Source organism: Homo sapiens, chromosome 11, assembly GCF_000001405.40.
Source record: "Homo sapiens chromosome 11, GRCh38.p14 Primary Assembly".
In the NCBI taxonomy this organism is placed as follows: domain Eukaryota; kingdom Metazoa; phylum Chordata; class Mammalia; order Primates; family Hominidae; genus Homo; species Homo sapiens.
The window spans coordinates 1,731,434-1,752,071 of NC_000011.10; the positions used below are offsets into that span (position 1 = coordinate 1,731,434).

The 20,638-nt window shown below is 55.4% G+C and overlaps 1 protein-coding gene across 1 annotated transcript, besides 3 other annotated features; it reads right to left on the reverse strand.

Annotated features, from left to right (window-relative positions):
• Nucleotides 1-972: 972 nt before the first annotated feature.
• IFITM10 (interferon induced transmembrane protein 10) lies at nucleotides 973-19,162 on the reverse strand. Its single transcript, NM_001170820.4, has 3 exons — nucleotides 18,926-19,162; nucleotides 16,234-16,686; nucleotides 973-3,996 (listed from the first exon to the last, which is right to left on the reverse strand). The coding sequence occupies exons 1-3, from the start codon at nucleotides 19,007-19,009 to the stop codon at nucleotides 3,847-3,849; spliced, it is 687 nt and encodes a 228-aa protein (NP_001164291.2). The 5' UTR covers nucleotides 19,010-19,162; the 3' UTR covers nucleotides 973-3,846.
• Nucleotides 12,168-12,526: an enhancer, noted in NCBI's record as "Amplicon_38_11:1721407-1721765 (NCBI36/hg18 genome assembly) insert fragment". NCBI's record gives its function as "drives selective reporter gene expression in differentiated C2C12 myotubes {active_cell/tissue: C2C12}" and the evidence as "EXISTENCE:reporter gene assay evidence [ECO:0000049][PMID:22144875]".
• Nucleotides 17,462-18,217: an enhancer, noted in NCBI's record as "H3K4me1 hESC enhancer chr11:1770125-1770880 (GRCh37/hg19 assembly coordinates)". NCBI's record gives its function as "activates a minimal SCP1, AML or CMV promoter by ChIP-STARR-seq in primed H9 embryonic stem cells {active_cell/tissue: H9 hESC(primed)}" and the evidence as "EXISTENCE:reporter gene assay evidence [ECO:0000049][PMID:30033119]".
• Nucleotides 18,218-18,973: an enhancer, noted in NCBI's record as "H3K4me1 hESC enhancer chr11:1770881-1771636 (GRCh37/hg19 assembly coordinates)". NCBI's record gives its function as "activates a minimal SCP1, AML or CMV promoter by ChIP-STARR-seq in primed H9 embryonic stem cells {active_cell/tissue: H9 hESC(primed)}" and the evidence as "EXISTENCE:reporter gene assay evidence [ECO:0000049][PMID:30033119]".

Below are 20,638 nucleotides of genomic sequence, written 5' to 3' on the forward strand. Positions count from 1 at the left end.
TAATACACACATGCACACAGTCACACACACATGCACACAGCCACACACAGCACATATACACTTATGCACGGCCACACACGTACACACAACACACACACACATACATAGTCACACACATGCACACAGTCACAAACATGCACATACAACACATCCACATGCATGCATACACATGTACACACAACACATCCACATGCATGCATACACATGTATACACAACACATCCACATGCATGCAGTCACACACACTCACACAAAGCACATTTACACACATGCACACAGTCATACATGCACACCCTTGTACACACAACACACACACATGCACACAGGCACACACACATGCACACATAACGTGAATATCACGTGCAGTCACACACATGCAAACACACACACAGTTACATACATTCAAACACATGTGCACATAATACATGCATGCATAGAGTCACACACACATGCAGTCACACACAACACATACATGCACACAGTCACACAGAAGCAGTCACACACACATGCACCACATACACAGACAAAAGCACACAGGCACACACACTACACACACACACGAACACATATGCACACAGTCTCACACACACACACACACACACACAGATGCACAGTGAGGCTCAGCCTTTACAGTCCCCTCAGTCTTGATCCTTTATTTATTTATTTATTGAGACAGGGTCTCACTCTGTCACCCAGGCTGGAGTGCAGTGGTGCAATCACGGCTCACTGCAGCCTTGAGCTCCTGGGCACAAGCAATCCTCCTGCCTCAGTCTCCCAAAGCACTGGGATTATAAGCATGAGCCACTGAGCCAAGCCCCAATCCTTTTAAACTGGCCTGTTGGGCTGGGGTCCCAAGGGCAGTGACCAGGGCAGCATGGGGAGAGGGGAGGGTAGGGAAAGTCACCTGACTCCCCAAAGATGCACAAATATATGGAGGCACACAGGGAGAAGGACAGAGAGAGTGAGAGGGGGATTGATTCTTTCGTTCGTACAATGTTTATTGAATGTCAAATGTCTGCCAGGCACTGTGCAAAATCACATAAAAATGAGGTGGGAGGAGTGCAGTGGACAGGGAGCGCCAGCAGGTCAGGCATGAGTACAGACAGGCAAAGACACAGACTTCGAAGCCAGAGACCAGCGCCGGAGCTGATGCCTGCTTGCCTGCCTGCTGAGGGCGAGAATGCACCTGCTGTGGGGGCCTGACCTCACCGTGGACACCCACCGCGGGAGCACCAGCCCTCCCCCGGTCCCCAGGGTATGGAAGCCAGGGGCCTTTGTAGCCCCACATTGCCCGGAGTTGGATACAAACATCCCAAGAGCTAGGGGTGCCTTTACTGGCTGGAAGGTGACCGTTCCATTTCCCCAACATGAACTCAGAAAGCTTCAGCCAGGCGCAGGAACATCCCAGGGAAAAGCTGGCTGAGGGCTTCCCTAATGCAGGGGTGTTTCCTCCTGGCCCCTGTCCCAGGCAGCCACCAGCACTGCCACCAAATGTTTAAGGAAAATAGGCAAAGAAAGCATTTGCCCCTCTACTTTCTTCCCTCCCAGGCATAACATGGAAGACACCTGGACACTGGGGTTGGCCTTAGCTGCCCCAGGAACTAGAAGCCAGGACCCTCTCTCTTCCAAGGCCCAGCAGCCTCTGCCATCCTCTTCCAGCCCAGGCTTGTCCAGGAAGCCTCTGGGTCTAATGGTGCAAGCATCCGAAGTGCCCACAACCAGGCTGCCCACAGTCTCGGCAAGGCTTTCAGCCGCCCCTGGCACTTCTCCCACCATCCTCCAAGAGGCTCAATGACAGCTCCGTGCAGCCCCGCATCAGCCTCGCAGCCCGCCGCCTCCTGCCCTCCCATCCCACCACTGCCTGGGTTCAAGGGTCAGTGCTCAAGAGTCCCACATGGTCCCCACCCTGTCCCCTCTCTCGACTCTGACCCCCAAGCCCTCCCATTTTGAGGTCACACACTCCCCTCCCCTCTTCCCTGAGCACCCCCTCCATCCACCTCTGCCTGGGCTGCACCCCAGGCCCACGGGCAGGTGCTGGCCACCCTCCCTTCCTCTGCAGGTTTCTGGGTCAGGACTGTGACCAGAATCTTGCTCGCTGCACTCCTGCCACGGCTGTGCCCTGTCCCCTGCGTTTGTCCCATCTGCTGCTAGCTCAAGGTCCTCCCTTCTGAGGCACCCCACGTCTCCAGCCCAGAAGGCTCTTCCCTTCTCTGCTTGGTATCTTAAAGTCAACATCTTCTTCTCCCTGGTTTCCTGCCCTTGGTACACAGCCCTCTCCACTGGGCTGTCCAAGTCAAGGGACAGGAATCCTCCGGGCTTCTCCCCCACCTTACCTTCCAAACCAGTCAACCCCACTGACTGCACAGCTGCCACGCAGGCGCCCTGCTGTCCAGCCCTCTGCTGCCAGCCCCAGCCCAGGCTCAGCTCCCTCCACTTGCATCCACCTCTGTCCACTGGACTCCCCTCCAAGCTGGCCTCGCTACCCCAGAGGGCACGAGCTTCCCAAAACATGAGGCGCACGGCCATGCCCCTTCCCTGGGAAGGTTTGCCTGCCTTCCCACGGAATAGCAAGTCCTTCCCACTGCGCACCTGAGCTGCGGGATTTCCTGCGGTTTCCCAGACCAGCTGGGCACCCACAGCGCGAAGCTCCACACCCATGGCCACTGCCTCGGCTTCTTCTCCATCTTCACCTCCCCACCTCCTTCGTGTGCCTCGCCGATGCCCTGCACTTTTCCTAGTGCACCCTCATCAGCTTGTCTTCAGGGCTGACCGGCACCCCCATGACTGTGCCTGAGTTCCAAGGGGACAGAGCCCATCCCTGCATCCTGCCTCCCACATTGTGGACTGCACATGCCATGGGCCGTCAGGGCGCTGGCCTCGGCCTTTGAAAGGCATCTTCCGTTCATTTTCACAGTGATTATAGAAGTGAAAGGCCATTTTCCTATTTTACAGCTAAGGAGATGGGCACGAGAGAGGTAAAGGGGCCTGTCCAGGTCCCAGAGCCCTCCAGGAGGGACAGGGGTTAGCCAGGCGTCTATCGTCTCTGCCTGCTGCTTCCTTCCGAGTGAATTTGTGGTTTCCTTTGCTCTGATTTGGCCAATGCAGGCAGCTGAGGCTGTGCCCCACCCCCTTCCGTCCCCCCAGGAGGCTGCCTGACCCTCTAAGTGACTCGAGTTTGGGGTACCTCCACCAAATGCCCCCCCTTCCCATTCACTGTCTGGCACAGCTGTGATGGAGCAGACCGTCCCCTGCAGTCTGTTGGGACACAGCACCCGGGGCCCTGACCGCCAGGCAGTTCCTGAGGGAGGATTGCAAAGCCTCCAGACTTCTCCAGGCCCTGCCAGGGACACAAAGTAGAAGGCTGGGCTGGAGCTGCATGGGTATTTCATTGAAAGTTCACAGACACAAGGGCTCTGAGCGGGGTCACATCGTGGAGGAGGCAGGGTCGGGGAGCACAGAGTGAGTCCTCCCAACCTGGGACAATTTTGCATAAGCCCTTCCTGCTAGGTGTCAGGTCCAAGGGGCCCCAGGAGCCTGGGAAGGGGCACGTGAGGGCAGGGACACAGACGCTGGAAGCCAGGGTGCAGCAGCGAGGGGAGAAGCCCCCAGGCCCCAGACACAGGCAGGGTGGAGGCCAGGAGGCGGAGGGGGTGGACTGAGGGCCAAGCTCACTGCCCCCTTGCTGTACTCAGCTTCTGATGGCCTTGCTGCCCAGTTCACAGCTCAAGGGGGCCCCAGGACAAGAAGCCCTGCCCTGCCCCAACCTCATGGGATCCTGCGTTTCAGGGACCATGAGAATAAACATGTCTCAGTGCTTGTCTCCGCCAGCAGCCGTGCCTGGCGGGCCTTAGTAGTCGGTGAGGGGGTACCGCAGGAAGATGAAGACGAGGATGATGCAGGAGGCTGCCAGGGCAGAACTGGTGATGTTGAACAGCCGGGCCGTCTTTGCATCCTCCACGGCTCCATTCAGGTCATTGAGAAGCTTCTTGTCTCGCACCTGAAGCCGGGAGGAGGACAGGAAATGGGCAGTCAGCCAGGGAGCAGGGCCTTGGAGCATCCAGGAGCCCAGCAGAGCCGGTGCCACAGTGCTCAGCACAGTACCAGTGCTTTGTTTCCGAGAGCTGACGAATGAACGATGGTTCTAGAGGAACATGTCTCTGCCCTGGGGCACTGTACACGGATGAACTTGGGGCACGGGGGCGTCATGTCTGAAACCTCTCAGCCCTCAACTGGTTTATAAAGTAGGTGAGATGTATTTATATATATAGAGAAAAGCAAATATGGTAAAATGTTAAAAAATTGGGGCAACTGGGTGAAGGATATAAAGAAATTCCTTGTTTTTTCTTTTTGCAAGTTTTAAATGATTAAAATAAAAGAAGTTGGCCTCAGAGAGGATATAATTGGAGGATGGGGCGACACAACTGTCTCCTAATTTGATTGGTTCTGCCTCGTTTAAAATTAACTGGGATGCCTTGAGGATGAGCGTTGTGCATTGGCAGGAGAGACAGCAGTCCACAGGGCCTTTGGGGAGGAATATTAAGGCGAAAGGAGTGGGCTGGCACTCAGGAAGTCTTGGGGAGGCAGTGGACTGAGCTGGACTCATTTCCAAGAGGCAACCTTCATTCAGAATGAATTATAGGGCCCTCCCCTCCTCAGCACTCTTTCCTTCTATCACATCCACAAATATGTGCGTGTTTGCTGTAAGAAGAAACCAAGTTCTAGGATGAGGAAGGGAAGGAGAATGGAAAGAGAGGAAGACAGGAAGGGGCAAAAAGTCTTTGCCTTAGTAGATTGGAGCTGGGCTGAAAGAAGGAAGGTGGGCAGATAGATACTGGGGCTGACTAATGCCTGGATCCCTCAGTGTGCAGGTTAGGCAGATGGACAGGAGACCTAGGTCGGAAGACTGGATGGACAGAGGATAGATGTGTGGTCAGGGTGATGGATGTGTAATTGAGTGGGAGAATGGAAGCATAAATGGATTGGCCTGTGGGTGGATGGATGGAGGAGGCAGAATACTGGAAAGAACAAAGGGAGAGGAGAGAAAAAAGAAGATAGAGGGAGTGGGGAAGGGAAAGCTAGAACGCAATTCAGTGGAGTGGAATGGAATGGAATGAAGTGGAGCAAATGCAGTGAAGTGAAATAGAGTGGAGTGGATGGAGTGGAGTGGATGGAATGGATGGAGTGAATGCAGTGAAGTGGATGGAATGGATGGAGTGAAGTGGGTGGAATGGATGGAGTGAAGTGGGTGGAATGGATGGAGTGCAGTGGGTGGAATGGATGGAGTGGAGTGGGTGGAATGGATGGAGTGGAGTGGATGGAATGGATGGAGTGGAGTCAATGGAATGGATAGAGTGGATGGAGTGGAGTGAATGGAACGGATAGAGTGGATGGATGGAATGGATGGAGTGGAGTCAATGGAGTGGAGCTGGAAAAAAGTTGGAGAGGGAAGGGAAGGGAGGGAACAAGGGCAAATGGGCAAGTAGGTGACTTGGAAGATAAATTGTACAGAACGTGCTATCAAAATGGAGAGATTGAAGATGGGAAGAAGCAGGTATTGAGGATTCAGGGTAAGGAAGGAGGCAGGAAGAAAGTCTATGCTCTTATCGGGTTCTTATGCTAGTGGTTTTGGAGGAAACTGACATCTGCAATGAAATTTGTATTCCTTTATAAGGACTGAATGTGTCACCCACTTATTGAGGTCTTATTTGATGCCTTTGCTAAAATAAAGTTGTATAACTTTCTCCAGAAAGAGCTATTACATCTTTTGTTAGACTTAGTCTTAGTCTATTTATTGTTTTTATTATAATGTAAAAGTATATTTTAAAATTGCATGTCTAACTGATTTTGTATCCAGCTAAACTATCATATTGTACTAACTGACCACGTGTTCTTAATAATAAATCATATCTACAGCAAATACTAGTATTTCTATTTCCTCCTTGCAGTCTACTCCTAGACAGCACAGCATAGAGGTTAAAGCACAGATGCAGAAACACTGACTGGATTTCAATCCTGATTCTGCGGGTCGTAGACTGTACAGCCTTAGGCCAGCTAACAACTTACTCTTCTGCTCCTCATTTCCTCATCTGTAACATGAAGATGACGACAGCGCTGCCTCCCAGGGTTGTGGGAAAGGCTTAATGAATTGATGGATGTGAAACTCCACCACAGTGCCTGGGCCAAAGTAAGCTCCTCTCATGGAGGCAAAGAAGATTCCAGAGCGTTTCCAGACAGCAGCAATGAGGACAAGCAGCTGAGTCTCATTCTTGACCTCAAGGTACCAGGAAGGATAATGCTCATCTTATCATTAGAGGTCTATGATTGCGTTAGAATTTCCACAAGATAAACTATTGTTTCCTTCTCTAATTCATTAATATGGTAGATTATATTTATTGATTTTCTTATATCAAGACAACTCTGAATTCCTAAAAAAACTTTTGGTCTTGATTTCTTTGTTGGATACTTGGAGTGAGGAATAACGTGGCAGAGGGAGGATGAAACACTGGGTGTCAAAAGCGGATGGAGCGGAGGGCAGGAGGCTGAGGCAGCTGGGGTATTGGGTGCATAGAAAATGGCGGCCACAGCTAAAGAAGATAGGGAAGAGGAGGGTGGGGGAGTGATCTAATGATCGGGAAGGTGGGTGGATGAAGCTGAGGGGTTATACGGATGGAGACTGGGTGTATGGGACAGAGAAATGGATGTAGAAACTTGTGCTGGGTGGGGAGGAGGGCTGGACGGATATAAAATGTACGTTGGATGAGTGGGACAGGGAGAGAGCTGAATTTATGAATACAATGCTTCTTGATGTACAATGGGGCTACAGTCCAACAAACCCATCATAAGTTTAAAGTGTCATAAGGTAAAAGTTTCATACGCATTTTCGTATGATGTGTTTTTCACAAGCCTGGTAAGCTGAGGAGTGTACTGGGTGCCTATGGCTTTCCTGCCATTGTGAAGTTGAAAAAGCATACGTCGAACCGTCATAAGATGGGGACCGTCTGTATATGCTGGGTGGGGTAACAGGTGCATAGACGAACATATGAATATATGTCCAAGTGGACAGATGGATATGCAAGTGTATGCCACATGGGTGGGGCATCTGGGTAAGCGGGTAAGTGAACGGCTGCTGGATGGGAGGTGATGTGTGGATATGTAAGAGCATGTTCGGTGGGCAGGACAGGCAAATAGGTGAATACACGAGAATGTGTGCTCATGTGTCCATGATGGCTTGGACCAGGGCAGCGGCAGAGAAGGTGATGAGACAGAGCCAACTTCTGGACATGTGTTGAAGGTGGAGCTGACAGTGTTTGCTGGGATCAGGCTTGCAGTGTGATAAAAAGAATGGAGGCCAGGCATGGTGGCTCACGCCTGTAATCCCAGCACTTTGGGAGGCCGAGGCGGGTGGATCATGAGGTCAGGAGTTCAAGACCAGCCTGGCCAAGATGGTGAAACCCCGTCTCTACTAAAAATACAAAAAAATTAGCAGGGGCAGGCACCTGTAATTCCAGCTACTTGGGAGGCTGAGGCAGGAGAATCGCTTGAACTCGGAGGGCAGAGGTTGCAGTGAGCTGAGATCGTGCCACTGCACTCCAGCCTGGGTGACAGAGTGAGACTCCGTCTCAAAAAAAAAAAAAAAAAAAAAAAAAAAAGAATGGAACTCCACGTGGTTTGAATGAATGGACAGGTGGTTACAGGAATATAGGAACGGATGCCAGACTGGAAGGGCAGGTGCACAGATGGGTTTCTGAATGCACGCTGGATGGCTGGAGCAGGTCCATGGCTGGATATAGTAACGGATGCTGGATGGCTGGGACAGATCCATATGCTGAATGGGTGGAACAGGTAGATCAATGAATTTATGATGTGTTTTGGATGGCTAAGATTGGTGGATAAGAGAAAGGAAGGAGGGTTGTTGGTGTAGTGTAGACCACTGGATGGTAGATGGGTAGACAGATTCCTTAATCAATCAATCATCAATCAATATTTACTTAGTGTCTGCTCTGAGTAGTTGCTGTTCTAGGTCCTGCGTATATCACAAGGAATAAAACAGAGTCTCTGTCCTCACGCAGCTTACATTGTAGGGAGAAGATACAGAAAATAAACACGATAAATAAGTCAAATATGTAATGTGCTCAGTGTGCTAAAAAGAAACCTGAAGAGGCTCAGGGGAACAGAGAGTGCTGTGGGAGGTGCAAGTCTAGCTTGGTGGCCAGGCTCAGGGGAACAGAGAGTGCTGTAGGAGGTGCAAGTCTAGCTCGGTGGCCAGGGAAGACCTTGTGGGGTGGGAGGTATTTGAGGAAAGATCGGAAGAATGTGACAGACTCGGCCATGTGTTCATCTGCAGGGAGGCATGTCCTGGGAGCATAGAGCTGTCTGTGCAGGGCCCGGTGCTTCTGAGGACTAGGTGCAGAGTAGGGGCAGCAGATCACAGAGAGAGAAGGGGAGGACATACGGTCAGAGGAGACCATCCAGGAGCACGGTGCAGGCTCTGTGGGTGCTTTTTAGTCATTTAGAGCCGGAAAGATGAACGTGATATGACATATGTGAACGAGGCAGTGCTGGCCGCTGTGTAAGAACAGATGGCAGGGGCCAGGCATGGTGGCTCACGCCTGTAATCCCAGCACTTTGGGAGGCCAAGGCAGGCAGATCATGAGGTCAGAAGTTTGAGATCAGCCTGACCAACATGGTGAAACCCTGTCTCTACTAAAAATACAAAAATTATCCAGGTGTGGTAGTGTGTACCTGTAATCCCAGCTACTCAAGAGGCTGAGGCAGGAGAATCGCTTGAACTCAGGAGGCGTAGGTTGCAGTGAGCCAACATTGTGCCACTGCACTCCAGCCTGGGCAACAGAGCAAGACTCCATCTCAAAAAAAAAAAAAAAAAAAAAAAAAGAACAGATAGTTGAACAGGCAGAGAGAGGTGGATTGAATGGTCCAGGGGAGGGTGAGGGTGGCTTGGACCAGGGCAGCAGTGGTGAAGGTAGTGAGACCTGACCAGCTCCTGGACAGGCGTGGAAGGTGAAGCTGATGGTGTTTGCTGGGATCAGGTGTAGAATGTGATAAAAAGCATGGAACTTGACATGATCTCAAGGTTTTTGGGGTTTGATCAACTGAACAGGGAGTTGTAGAAGGCTGCAAAAGGAAGACTCGTTTAGCAGTTCAATTTCTGACATGTCAAGGTAGGAATGCCCTTTAGATATATAGCAGATATTTGGCATAGCAATTTGTGTGAGTCTGGAGTTCAGAGATGAGGTCTAGGGCAGAGATATAAATTTGAGAAGCATCGGCAAAAAGATGGTATTTAAAACTGATATAGTTTGAACACATGTCCCTGCCAAATCTATGTTGCAGCGATCCCCAGTGGTGGAGAGGGCCTGGTGGGAGGTGTTTGGCTCATGCGTGTAGATCTCATGGCTTGATGCTGTCCTCACCATAGTGAGTGAATTCCTGAGAGCTGGTTGCTTTAAAGTGTGAGGTGCCTCCCCCTTATCCCTCCCTTGTGAGGTGCCTCCCCTTTATCTCTCCCTTGCTCCCACTCTTGCCATGTGAGATGCCTGCTCCCACTTTGCCCTCCACCATGACTGGAAGCCTCCTGAGGCTTCCCCAGAAGCAGATACCAGCACCATGCTGCCTGTACAGCCTGCCGAACCATGAGCCAATTAAACCTCTTTTCTTATAAATTACTCTCTCTCAGGTATTTCTTTACAGCTGTGCAAGAACGGCCTAATACTAAAACCATGGGACTGGATGGGGCACCAAGGGAGTGAACATGAAGGAAGGAGAGGATGGAGAGCTGAGCCCTGGAGCCCTGCAGTGTCAGAAGGTTAGGGAGTCAAAAGCAATTAGGAAACGGGCCCGAGAAGAGTGGGCCAAGAAGCAGGGAAGGCAAAGGGGCACCAGGGTGCTAGGTGGCGGAATGGGCTGAAAAGTACAAGCAGAGGTGGGACATAGAGGATGAGGCAGCCATGTGGGGGCAGGGGAGATGGATGGTGCTGGGTGGGTAGAGGAGAGGGAGGAGGAGAGCGGGAGAGAGAACAGGCTGATGGCTGGGAGTTGGGTGAGTCCATCGAAGCAAGCAAGGAAGGAAAATGGAAGGACATTCTGATGATGAATTGAGGGCTAGGTGGCCAGGCAGTTCTTCTATGACTGTGAATATTGATGGATGACAGATGGGTGAATGTGTGAAGGAAAAAGAGCAGGGGTGGGCAGATGTGGGTACAGAGAGGAACTGGCTCTGGCTATAGAGATGGATGGAACAGGTCACTGGAGGAACAGGGGAGAGGAAACACAAGGAAGGGATGACATATAAGTGGATGAAAGGGCAATGTTATGGTTTGACTGTTCATGTCCCCCAAATTCCTGTATGGAAATCCTAACCCCTAAAGTGATGGTAGGAGGTGGGGCTCTTGAGAGGATTAGGTCATGCGTGGGATTGGCACCCTTATAAAAGGGGCCCCAGGGAGGCCCTCGGCCCTACTGGCAAATGAGGACACAGAAGTTGACAGCCTGCAACCCAGAAGAGGGTCCTGATCAGAACCTGACTATGCTGGCACCCTGATCTCAGACTTCGAGCCTCCGGAACAGTGAGAAGTAAATACCCAGTGTTTATAAACCAACTAATCTATGATAATTCATTAGAGCAGGCTGGACAGGCTCATGCCACTCAACTTGGAGGCAGGTGAATGGGATACCTGAATAAAGCCAAGGAAGGAAAGATGGGATGGATGTGCCTGGAAGGTCAGATGGTCAACGAGATGAGTGGTGGGGTGGGTGGACACATGCCTGAGAGGAAACAAGAGAGAATGGACATTTTACAGCTGAATGATTAGCTATATTAGTAAAGCACGTAGGCGGATGGTAGAAAGAATGAAGGGGATAGAAGGGGAGAATGCATGGCCGAAAAGTGGGGCAAAAGAAAGGAAAAGAAAAAAATGAGAGGGAAAAGAAGAACGTGAGAAATTTATGCATGAGCGGTTAGAGACAAGGTGGATGAGGAAGGAGGGAATAGAGAAAGTGACAGTGGCTGGATTGAGCTGACAGTTGGGGTGAGCTGAGGCACGCTGAGTATGAAGGAGGCACTCAGTGAATGGGTGAGTGTGACTCAGCTAGGGGAGCAGCAGGAGGAAGGGCGGGTGGATGTCTTGAAGGGTGAATAGATGTGTTGCCACATGAGGTCACAGGATGGAGGGATGATTGGGTCTATTGACAGGTAGGGCTTGGAAGGAAAGTGGGCAATTACTGAGAAAGTGAGACTAGATGAATAGTTTAGTGGGTTGATGCATAAGGTTGGTGGGGACAGGATGGGAGAGCAGGGCAGGGAGGGGAGCCTGAATGATCATGTGTGAACACAGGTGGATGGAAGGTTGGGTGGCTATTTGGAGGGGTTGAAGGAAATGTGGGAGGATGGATTGAATATAAGTTTGGGTGGATGGACGGAGGGAGGATGAACAGATGATGGATGGATGGATGGACAGATGGAGGATGGATAGATGGATGGAGGATGGATGGATAGATGGATGGAGGATGGACAGATGGAGGATGGATGGATGGATGGACATATGGATGGATGAAAGATAAATGGATGGATGGATTGAGGGTGGATGGATGGATGGATGAAGGATGGATGGAGGGCGGATGGATGGATGGATGGAGGATGGATGGAGGATGGATGGATAGATGGATGGAGGATGAATAGATGGATGGATATGGATGGATGGACAGATGGAGGATGGATGGATGGACAGATGAAGAATGGACAAATGGAAGATGGATGGATGGACAGATGAAGAATGGACAAATGGAAGATGGATGGATGGAGGATGAATAGATGAATGGATATGGATGGATGGACAGATGGAGGATGGATGGATGGACAGATGAAGAATGGACAAACGGAAGATGGATGGATGGATGGATGGATGGAGGATGGACAGATGGAGGATGGATGGATGAATGGATGGAAGATGGATAGACGGATGGATGGAGGGTGGATGGATAGATGAAGGACAGATGGAGGATGGCTGAATGGAGGATGGATGGATGGATGCATATGGATGGATGGACAGATGGAGAATGGATGGATGGAAGATGGATGAATGATAGATGGATGGAGGATGGGAAAGATAAATGTGTGATGCTGATATTCAGAAAGGAGTGAGTGGGTGAGTGTGTACATCCAAAACCCAACGCAGAACCCACCCACCTAACCTGTTCTTTCTGACCGCCCTGTCACTGGAAGGTCTCACAGCCTCCTGGGCTCACATCTAGCAGCTGCTGTGTCCTAGCCACACCTGTTCCTCCTCTCCCACCCCCATCCCCAGCTCGCAAGCTCTCCCACCTGGACCACCACACTGGGACTTGAACCTTCTGCCTCGAGGCTTGTCTTGTCTCCTTCCCCTACACTGGTTGCAGATTTCATGGCCCTGATCATATCCTTCTCTTTCCATGGCTCCTACAGATGAGAGCCCAGCCCCTCACGAGGTTTTCAAACCCGTTCACCGCACTGCCTCAGGCACTCTTCCAGGAATGTCTTCCATCTCCCATTGAGGACAGGGGCCTTGCCGACCCCCTAGACTGCCCCACCTACGTGTCTTAGTTTATGCCATTTTCCCCGCCTGAAACACCTTTCCCCTCACCAAGCTTCAAGGCCCAGTGAAATTGCTGCCTCCTTCTAGAAGTTTTCCAGCCTCACCCCAAACTGGGAATGAAGTATTCCTTTTCTGAAACACTGTGGTGCTTCTTCCGTCTCACCATGTGTCCTCTGTCCACCCACCCATTAGACCCACATGTCCTGACCCATCTGTTGGCCAGCTCTGCCTTGGGCACAGATTGGCTGGGGTGAGCAGATGTGGCTGGGGCAGGACTGTCTCTGGAGGCTTTGCAGAAGAGAGACCCAGATCTCACAAAAGCTCTCCAGGCCGAGGATGTGCACATCGCTCACATCACATTTGCCGAGTGACCGGGGCGGGGAACCGCTGAGGCCAGAAGGGTTAAAAAGGCAGCTTGGATGCTGAGATGAGACGTTTGGCCATCATCCAGCTGACCGCGGGAGCCAGTGGTCATCAGGAGACAGTGTGTGGAGGCGGCATGAATGGAGAATTGACTTTTTGTATCTCTGCCTTCCCCGGACACCAGGCTGTGCAAAATAAGGCTTCAATCTCTGCGCTGCAGATCCAGCCTGCGTTGAGCCGAATTGGCCCATGTGGGTGGGGGGGGTGGATGGATGGCTGGACGGGTGGATGGACACGTGGGGGCAGGCAAGGACACACTGTCTAGTTCATACCACTGCATGCGGGCCTCCGCCCTGCTCACGTGTGCTGGCTTGAATGTTGTTTTGTTTCTATTTGTTTTGTGAACAGATGAGGGAACAGGGGCTCAGTGAGGCAAGATGGCTTGTCTGTCCCAAGAGCTCGGATTTTAGCCAAGACCTTCTGAACCTAGGGCCACCCCGCGTCCTTGGTGTAGGGTGCAGGTCAGGAGACCTGCAGCTGGGTGACCAGATGGATGCATTCCCAGGCGTGGGGTCCACAGCCAGCCAGTTCCGTCCTCCCTTCTGCCCAGGATGGAGACAGGTCACCTTGCACCCACTCCCAGGTATGCCCCAAAGCCTCTCTGCCCTGGCTGCCCCCGCCCACCGCAGGAAGGACACAGGAGGAGCAGGCTTGGGAGGAGGTGTAATGAGCCGTCCCTGACCCTCAGAAGGGTCAACCTCACACCACCCCCAACCCCTGCAGAAACCCGGCACCATCCAGAAATCCCTGACCTACCTACAACCCGAGCCAGATGGGCCTGCCCCATGCCAGCCGGCCAGCCACAGCCTGAGCCAAGCGGGAGGAGGGACAGCTTCCGGACGGGAGCCCAGGCAGCCAGACCCATGTCCGCAGGCTGTTGGCAGGGCACAGAGAGAGGGGAGGCAGAGCTCCACCAGCTGCAGCTTCAGCCCCCCAACACTGGAGCTTTCTGCTCAGGATTGGTCTGGGGAGCCACAGCTGGAGCTGGTCGGAAGCATGACCTCCAATTCCAGGGGCCCTTTTCCTTTGTTGCTTCTACACACACACACACACGCAGGAATACTCACCACCACACACACATGCTCTCACACACTTGTGCACACACATTTACACGTACCATGCACACTCACGTATGATTACACACGCATGCACAGTCAGGTACATACATCACACATGCACACACTCACACACACTTGTGCACACACATTTACATGAACCACACACGTGTGATTACACACATGCACATGCAGGTACAGACAACACACAGGCACACACCCTCACACACTTGTGTACACACATTTACACGTGCCATGCACACTCGTGCGATTACACACACATGCACACACTCAGGTACATACACACAGCACACATGCACACACCCTCACACACCCGTGCACACACATTTATACGTGCTATGCACACTCACGTGTGATTACACACACGTGCACACTCAGGTACATACAGACAGTACACAGGCACACCCCACACACACTTGTGCACACACATTTATACGTGCCATGCACACTCATGTGTGATTACACACACGTGCACACTCAGGTACATACAGACAGTACACAGGCACACCCCACACACTTGTGCACACACATTTACATGTGCCATGCACACTCACGTGTGATTACACACGTGCACACAGGTACATACAGCGCACATGCACATACCCTCACACATTGTGCACACACATTTACACACACCATGCACACATGCAATTACACACACATGCACACAGGTACACACACCACACATGCACACACGCCCTCACACACTTGTGCACACACATTTACACACACCATGCCCACCCACGTAATTACACACATGCACACATATGCATTCACATGTACACACATGCAAATACACTCCTGCCTACACACAGTCATACACATGCACACACATGCACACACAAAAATATATGTACACACTCATGCACACAATGCATTCACATGCACACATAGTTACACTCACAGTACATGCCCACTTATGCAATTACACGTGAGTACACACATACACTGACACGTGCTGGCTCACACACAGGCCCCTGTGTCAGAGCCCAGGGATGGATCCGCAGGCCCGAGGTTGAAGGTGCCCGTGCCAGTGGGCAACGCCGGGGTTGGCAATCATGATGAGTCAGGAGCAGGAGGGGAACGCCGACCGCAGTTGCGATGCCGGGCGGGGTGGGGCTCGAGCTCAAGGATGGAGCAGAGGCGAAGCTGGCCAGGCGTCCTTCCTCCCAGCCAGCCTCTGCCCAGCCTCTTCTCTCCCTGCATCCCCTGTCTTCTCCCCCACCCGGCAGGGCAGCTGCATTGGTGGAGTACATCTGGCCTTGGCCACTCAAGTCTGGGCTGGGGAAATGTGATGATGAGGCTAAACGTGAGCCAAGCCCTTCCTTCCGGTGCGTCGGGGTGGGGAGGAGGGCACCGGGGCCTGCCCTCGCCCTCACGCTCCCTTCCCCAGGAAGGGCTCCAGCACCAGACACATTGACACACGGCTGCCCCTCTCACTGTGAGCCCATCACAGCCTCCCTCCCACCATCTCAGTCCCTGCTGCTCCACCTTGCCCTCAGGGGGACAGGGTCATGTCTGCCCAGCACCTGCTCTGCTACCAGCCAGCTCTTCTCGCAGCCCTGAGCTGGGGAGGTGCAGGACCTGTTTACACCCCTCTTCCCTGGGCTGCCCTGGCCACCCAGGTCTGGTCTCCACGCAGGGCTTGGCAGAGCTGTGTAAGCACCTGCCCTTGGGCTCCGGGTGAGGAGCTGGATAAGAAGGTGGCCCCTCTTCCTTTCCATAGGGGTAGGATTCCAAGCCCTCTTCAGCCCCACGCTGGCCCCATCCCTGCACACGGAGAAGTGGCTGCTGCCCAGGTCTACGTCCCATGTCCCCTGAGCCTGAGCAACCCCGCCCCCCTCAACCCCCGCTCCCAGCCCCTCCTGCAGGTTCCGCTGAGCTGGCTGAGCAGAAAGCCAGGCCCTGATGGCTCAGGAGAGGGAAGGGCAGACCCCTGCCCGCCCAGACCTAGCCAGTACCCCGACCTCTCTGGGACCCACCATCAGGACCCCTCACTGTCCTTTGATCCCTTGGCCCCTCAACTGCACCTGTTCTACCCGTGTGCTCCCCTGAGAGGGAGAGGGGCCGAGCGCCCACAGCCAGGGACTGTCCTGCCGGCACCACCTCTCTAGCCCGCCCTTGCCCCCTGCCACCGCCCGGGCTCACTTTGAGGGAGTAGGCCAAGGCGATGAAGCCCAGGCAGCAGAAGTTGAGGTAGACGAAGTTGAAGATGGACCACAGGTAATAGTCGTTCACCTCGGTGGTGTCCGGGTAGACCTCGATGACGGTCGTGGGGTTGGTCATCGTCTTCTTCTCGGCTAGGTGCTTGCAGGCAGGGGGCGCGCCGGCAGCCCGCACGCTGTCGGTCTTGCTGCTCTTGGACTCCATGGGGAACAGTGTGGGCGCCATCGGGGGAGAGGCCGAGGGCTCAGGGGCAGGGGCCGCCGGAGCCTGCAGGGCAGGGGGCTTGGACACGCAAGCGAAGCAGCCCTTGGGCGAACCTGCCGGGGGCCTCGGAATCCAGAAGGCCCCGTCCAGGGGGACTCGGGCTTCCTGGGCGCCGTCCGTGGTGCTGGCCGGGTCTCCCAGCGGGGCTGGGCACTGGCCGGGGCCCTGGGCCTGGAGAGGAGAAAGTGAGAGCAAGCTGGGCCCGGCCTACCGGCCAGCACCCACCCTCACGCCCAGCAGCTCCGAGAACAGCCCCAGTGGAGACGGAAATCCCTGCGGGGGCCGCCAGCTGCCAGCCTGCCACCTGCCTCCCCCACCCGCCCCGGGCCTCGGCGGCCACGGACGATGCCAAAGCCCTTCGCAGCAGCCTTGGCAGGGACCTGGGGCTTTCATCACTTCGCCATCTGCGCATAAACACTCACCCACTGACACACACAACAGCACCCCCCGCCCCGAAGCACACCAACGCTGAGACTGACACTGTTGCAAAACACAGAGTGCCCCAGCACCCCAAACAACCCCGCACACACGGGGCGCCGGACCCACAGCGACGCTGCCTCAGCCGCCAACCGGCAGAGCTAGCAGAGCGGCCAAAGCACCTGCCCACGGCGCCCGCGGACACCCGATACCGCCACGGGCACCGCCACGGGCTCCACCGCGGGCTGCACCGCGGGCTCTCCAGACCCCGGGGCGCACCCGCGGGCGCGCTCAGAGCCATTGACGAGTAAACAACTCCCCACACAAGGCGATGCAGGCTCAGCCACGAGCACCAAGAACCGGCACAGGTGCGGGGTCTCCAACTCGTGCGCACCGCCCCCCACCTCCAACCTGGGGACCCCAAGCGCGCACACTTGCCCGGAGCCACGCACCCCCGGGCCATACATAGACGCACAATAACAGGCTGTGAAATGAACACTTCTCCAACGAGGCACCAAGTCGCTCGCGCTCTGCGCCACCCCGCGTTCCCAGCTCCCGTGCGGCGCTCGCCGGGGGGTCTGCGGCCGAGGCTCTGCAGCCCCCAGCCCCATCCGGGTCTGCCGCAGCCCCCCGGACGGCGCCTCCTCACCTACAAGCGACTCCTCGGCGCGCGGCCGGACCCCCTGAGCCTCGGTGCGCGCGTCCTTCCGCCGTCCCGCGGGCCGCTGTCTGTCCACTGATCCGCCTCCCAGCGGCCCAACCTTGAGGGGGTGGGGAGCGCGCGGGGCTCGGCGGCGGCGCCGCTGCCTCCCCCGCCGCCTGCGCTCCCTCCGCAGCGCCAGACCGGCCGCGCGGCTGCAGCCCAGAGCCTGACTCACGGCGGCAGCGGGCACAGCCACCTCCCCGCCTCCGCCTCCTCCTGCCAGGAGGGTGGGGGCCTCGGAAGCCGCGACCCTGGGGAGTTGCAAGGTCCCGCAGGGATGGGACCCCTACAGCCCCCGACCAGGGTGTCCGCGCCACCTCCATCTCCCCGGACCCACTGCGTCTTCCTCCCCACCCCACCCGGCCCCATCCCTCTCGCGGAGCCCCCAGCCCCGTGGAAGACTGGACGCTCCCGGAACCCTCCCCATCTGCCTCCCCAAGAGAGACCCTCTTCCTCTTCCCACTCTCCCCATGGCGCTCCACCCCAGCGCCTGGGCCCTGCTGCCTCCAGGGACCCCCGCCCCTGGGTCCTGCCCTTCTGGCCTGTTGACTCTCAGTTCCAGCAGCTCAGTCCCCTCCTGACGAAGCTCCAGTCCCCTGAGCCCCAGCAGGCCCCCTACCTGACTGCCCGTCTCTGCCCCATCCTGTCCCTAACCAAGTCCACAAGGCCCCCAAGACCACCCTCCAGTCCCTTCCCTCCTTAGCCCACCAAGTCCAGGCCTTCCGGTAAGTTTCAGCACCCCCTACTCTGTTCCTTCCTGGCTGAGCCCACTCCTGCCCATCGGAGCTCCTGCCCCCTTTCCTGGAGTCTGACTTCACCCAGCCGGGGCCCCACTCCAGTTCACTCCCAGAGTCTGGGAGAATGTGGCCTCTCCTGCGCAGACCCCAGGTCATGCTCCATCTGCTCGCAGGGCAAAGTGTCCCGTTCCGAGCTCTGGTCCTGTGCTGAGGTCCTGGCTGCTAAGGACACTTGTCTCCCTGGAGGCTGGTTTACTCACCTGCCCACAGCCTCTCTGTGATCCCTACCAGCCCTTCTGAGCCTGGTCCCCTGAGGATACTTTGTTCCCTGTGAATCATTTTTCCTGACCAATGCCTGTCCTCCCAGCCTCAGCCGCCTCCGCTACCCCACCACATCCTCACTCTCACGGTATGCTTGACGCCAGCTGATCTTCCATCCCCATAACAGTCCCCATGAGTTCCTCCCCATGGAGAAAACTCCAGCCTTCCCTCCCTCCCTCCAAGTCCCCCACTTCACCACGCAGGTTCCCTGAGCTGGGTCCTCTTCACCAACCTCCAGCTCCCACTGAGCCTCGACCCTCTCCAAAGTCCCCCGGAAGCTGAGGATGCATGGCGGCCCCCGTTTTCCCTCCCTCATCTCTCTCCAAGCCCCATCCTCCCATGAAACTCCTTTCTCCTCTGCCACTCTCAACTGGCCTCCTGTGTCTCCGCAACCCTCTTTCCTGTCTGGAAGGCCAGTCCTGCTTGGGGTCCTGTCTGCCTGCCTGTGCCTGACTCTGAACCCTTTCTCTCCCCAAACCTCTGTTCTGAACCCTAATCCCCTGGAAAAGCCCAGCCCTCTGCAAGCCCCTCCTCTTTCCAGCCTAGTCCCCGCCCCTCATGCCTGGGCTGACCCGGGCACAGTGTTATCCACAGCACGCCAGGAACCCACAGCACAAGGCTGATCTTAAATGATGTTGATAAACCCTAACGAGCAGGAGGGGTCATGAAGCATGAGGAGCCTCCTCCTCGTCTCCTTGGGCACCCTGGCCATGCTCTCCCTGGAGCCCACAGGCCGTGGGTGGATGGGGCCTGTCGGAGAACCAGGGTTCCGTTCTCCCTCCCCAACTCCCTCCTCCTTTCCAAGGGCCTGGCCCAGGGAAAACTGGACCCGGTGTCCTCAGACGGGGCCTGATCCCAGGCTGAGTGTGGCCTGTGTGCCATGCCCCCATGTCTCCCCAGCATCTGAGCTGGGCTTACCCGGCCAGCCACCACCTTCTGGGAGACCCTGGCCTGCCACACAGCCTCTGCCCAGTGCTGCCCCACCCCAGTTTGCCCTGAAGGCCTCAGGCAGTGAGGAGGCCTCCATAGCAGGAGAGGGTTGCCTGGGCCCGAGGGTCCAGGGCCTGCCCAGGGTCACTGGGTAGGTGACAGGGGAGCCAGGGCCTGCTCCCGGCCTCAGGCCACCTTGGGGCTGCCTCTGAGGCCAGGAAACACCACTGAGAGGGAGCCAGGGGTCGCAGGGCAGAGCCAGGGCCGAGCCAAACTTGGCACAGCCAGCATTCATGTGACTGTTGGTGGGCTCCCCAAGGGCCTGGGCTCCAGCTTCCCCTTTGCTAGGGGTTTCTGGTTACAACCCACAGTCTAGACAGGGGGGGACTCCAGGCTCAGGGTCCAGTCACCAGCTAGAAAACCACGGAGGAACCCGGGGTCAGACTCCAGGGCCCCGAGAATCCTGCCGGGCTGGAGGGAGCCCTCGGAGCAACCCCAGGGCAGCAGCCATGAAGATGGGAGCTGGACGGAGCTGACAAGCTGCAGAAGGAGGGAGATGGGGAGAGTGGGACAGGGCAGGGACAACAGGGTATGGCTGCCTCCTTGTACCTCTCTGCCCTCCCAGGCCTCAGTGCACAAAGCATCTGATGACAGGACATTTGTCTCCCCAGAAGCCCTGCCAGGCCCTGCAGAGTTCTGCCCAGCTCTGCTCAGATTTCAGGCATGCCAAACGCCAGGCATGTGTTTCCAAGCCTCCGTGCCACCCTGGGTAAATGTTCTTGCTCCAGGTGTCTGCCGTAGCATGGCTCTGGGGTGAAAGCCCTGCAGCCCCTTGGGAGGAAGGCCAAGGCAGCCACCACCCTCAGGCAGAGGCATCAAGATAATGGCAAATGTCACATCTGCCTCATCTTCTAACCTGTTGGGGTGGGGCTCGAGGGGGCTCTAAGTGACTCCAGAGCTACTGATCCCAAAAGGAACTCTGCTCCCACCACCACATGCCCACAAACTCCTACTT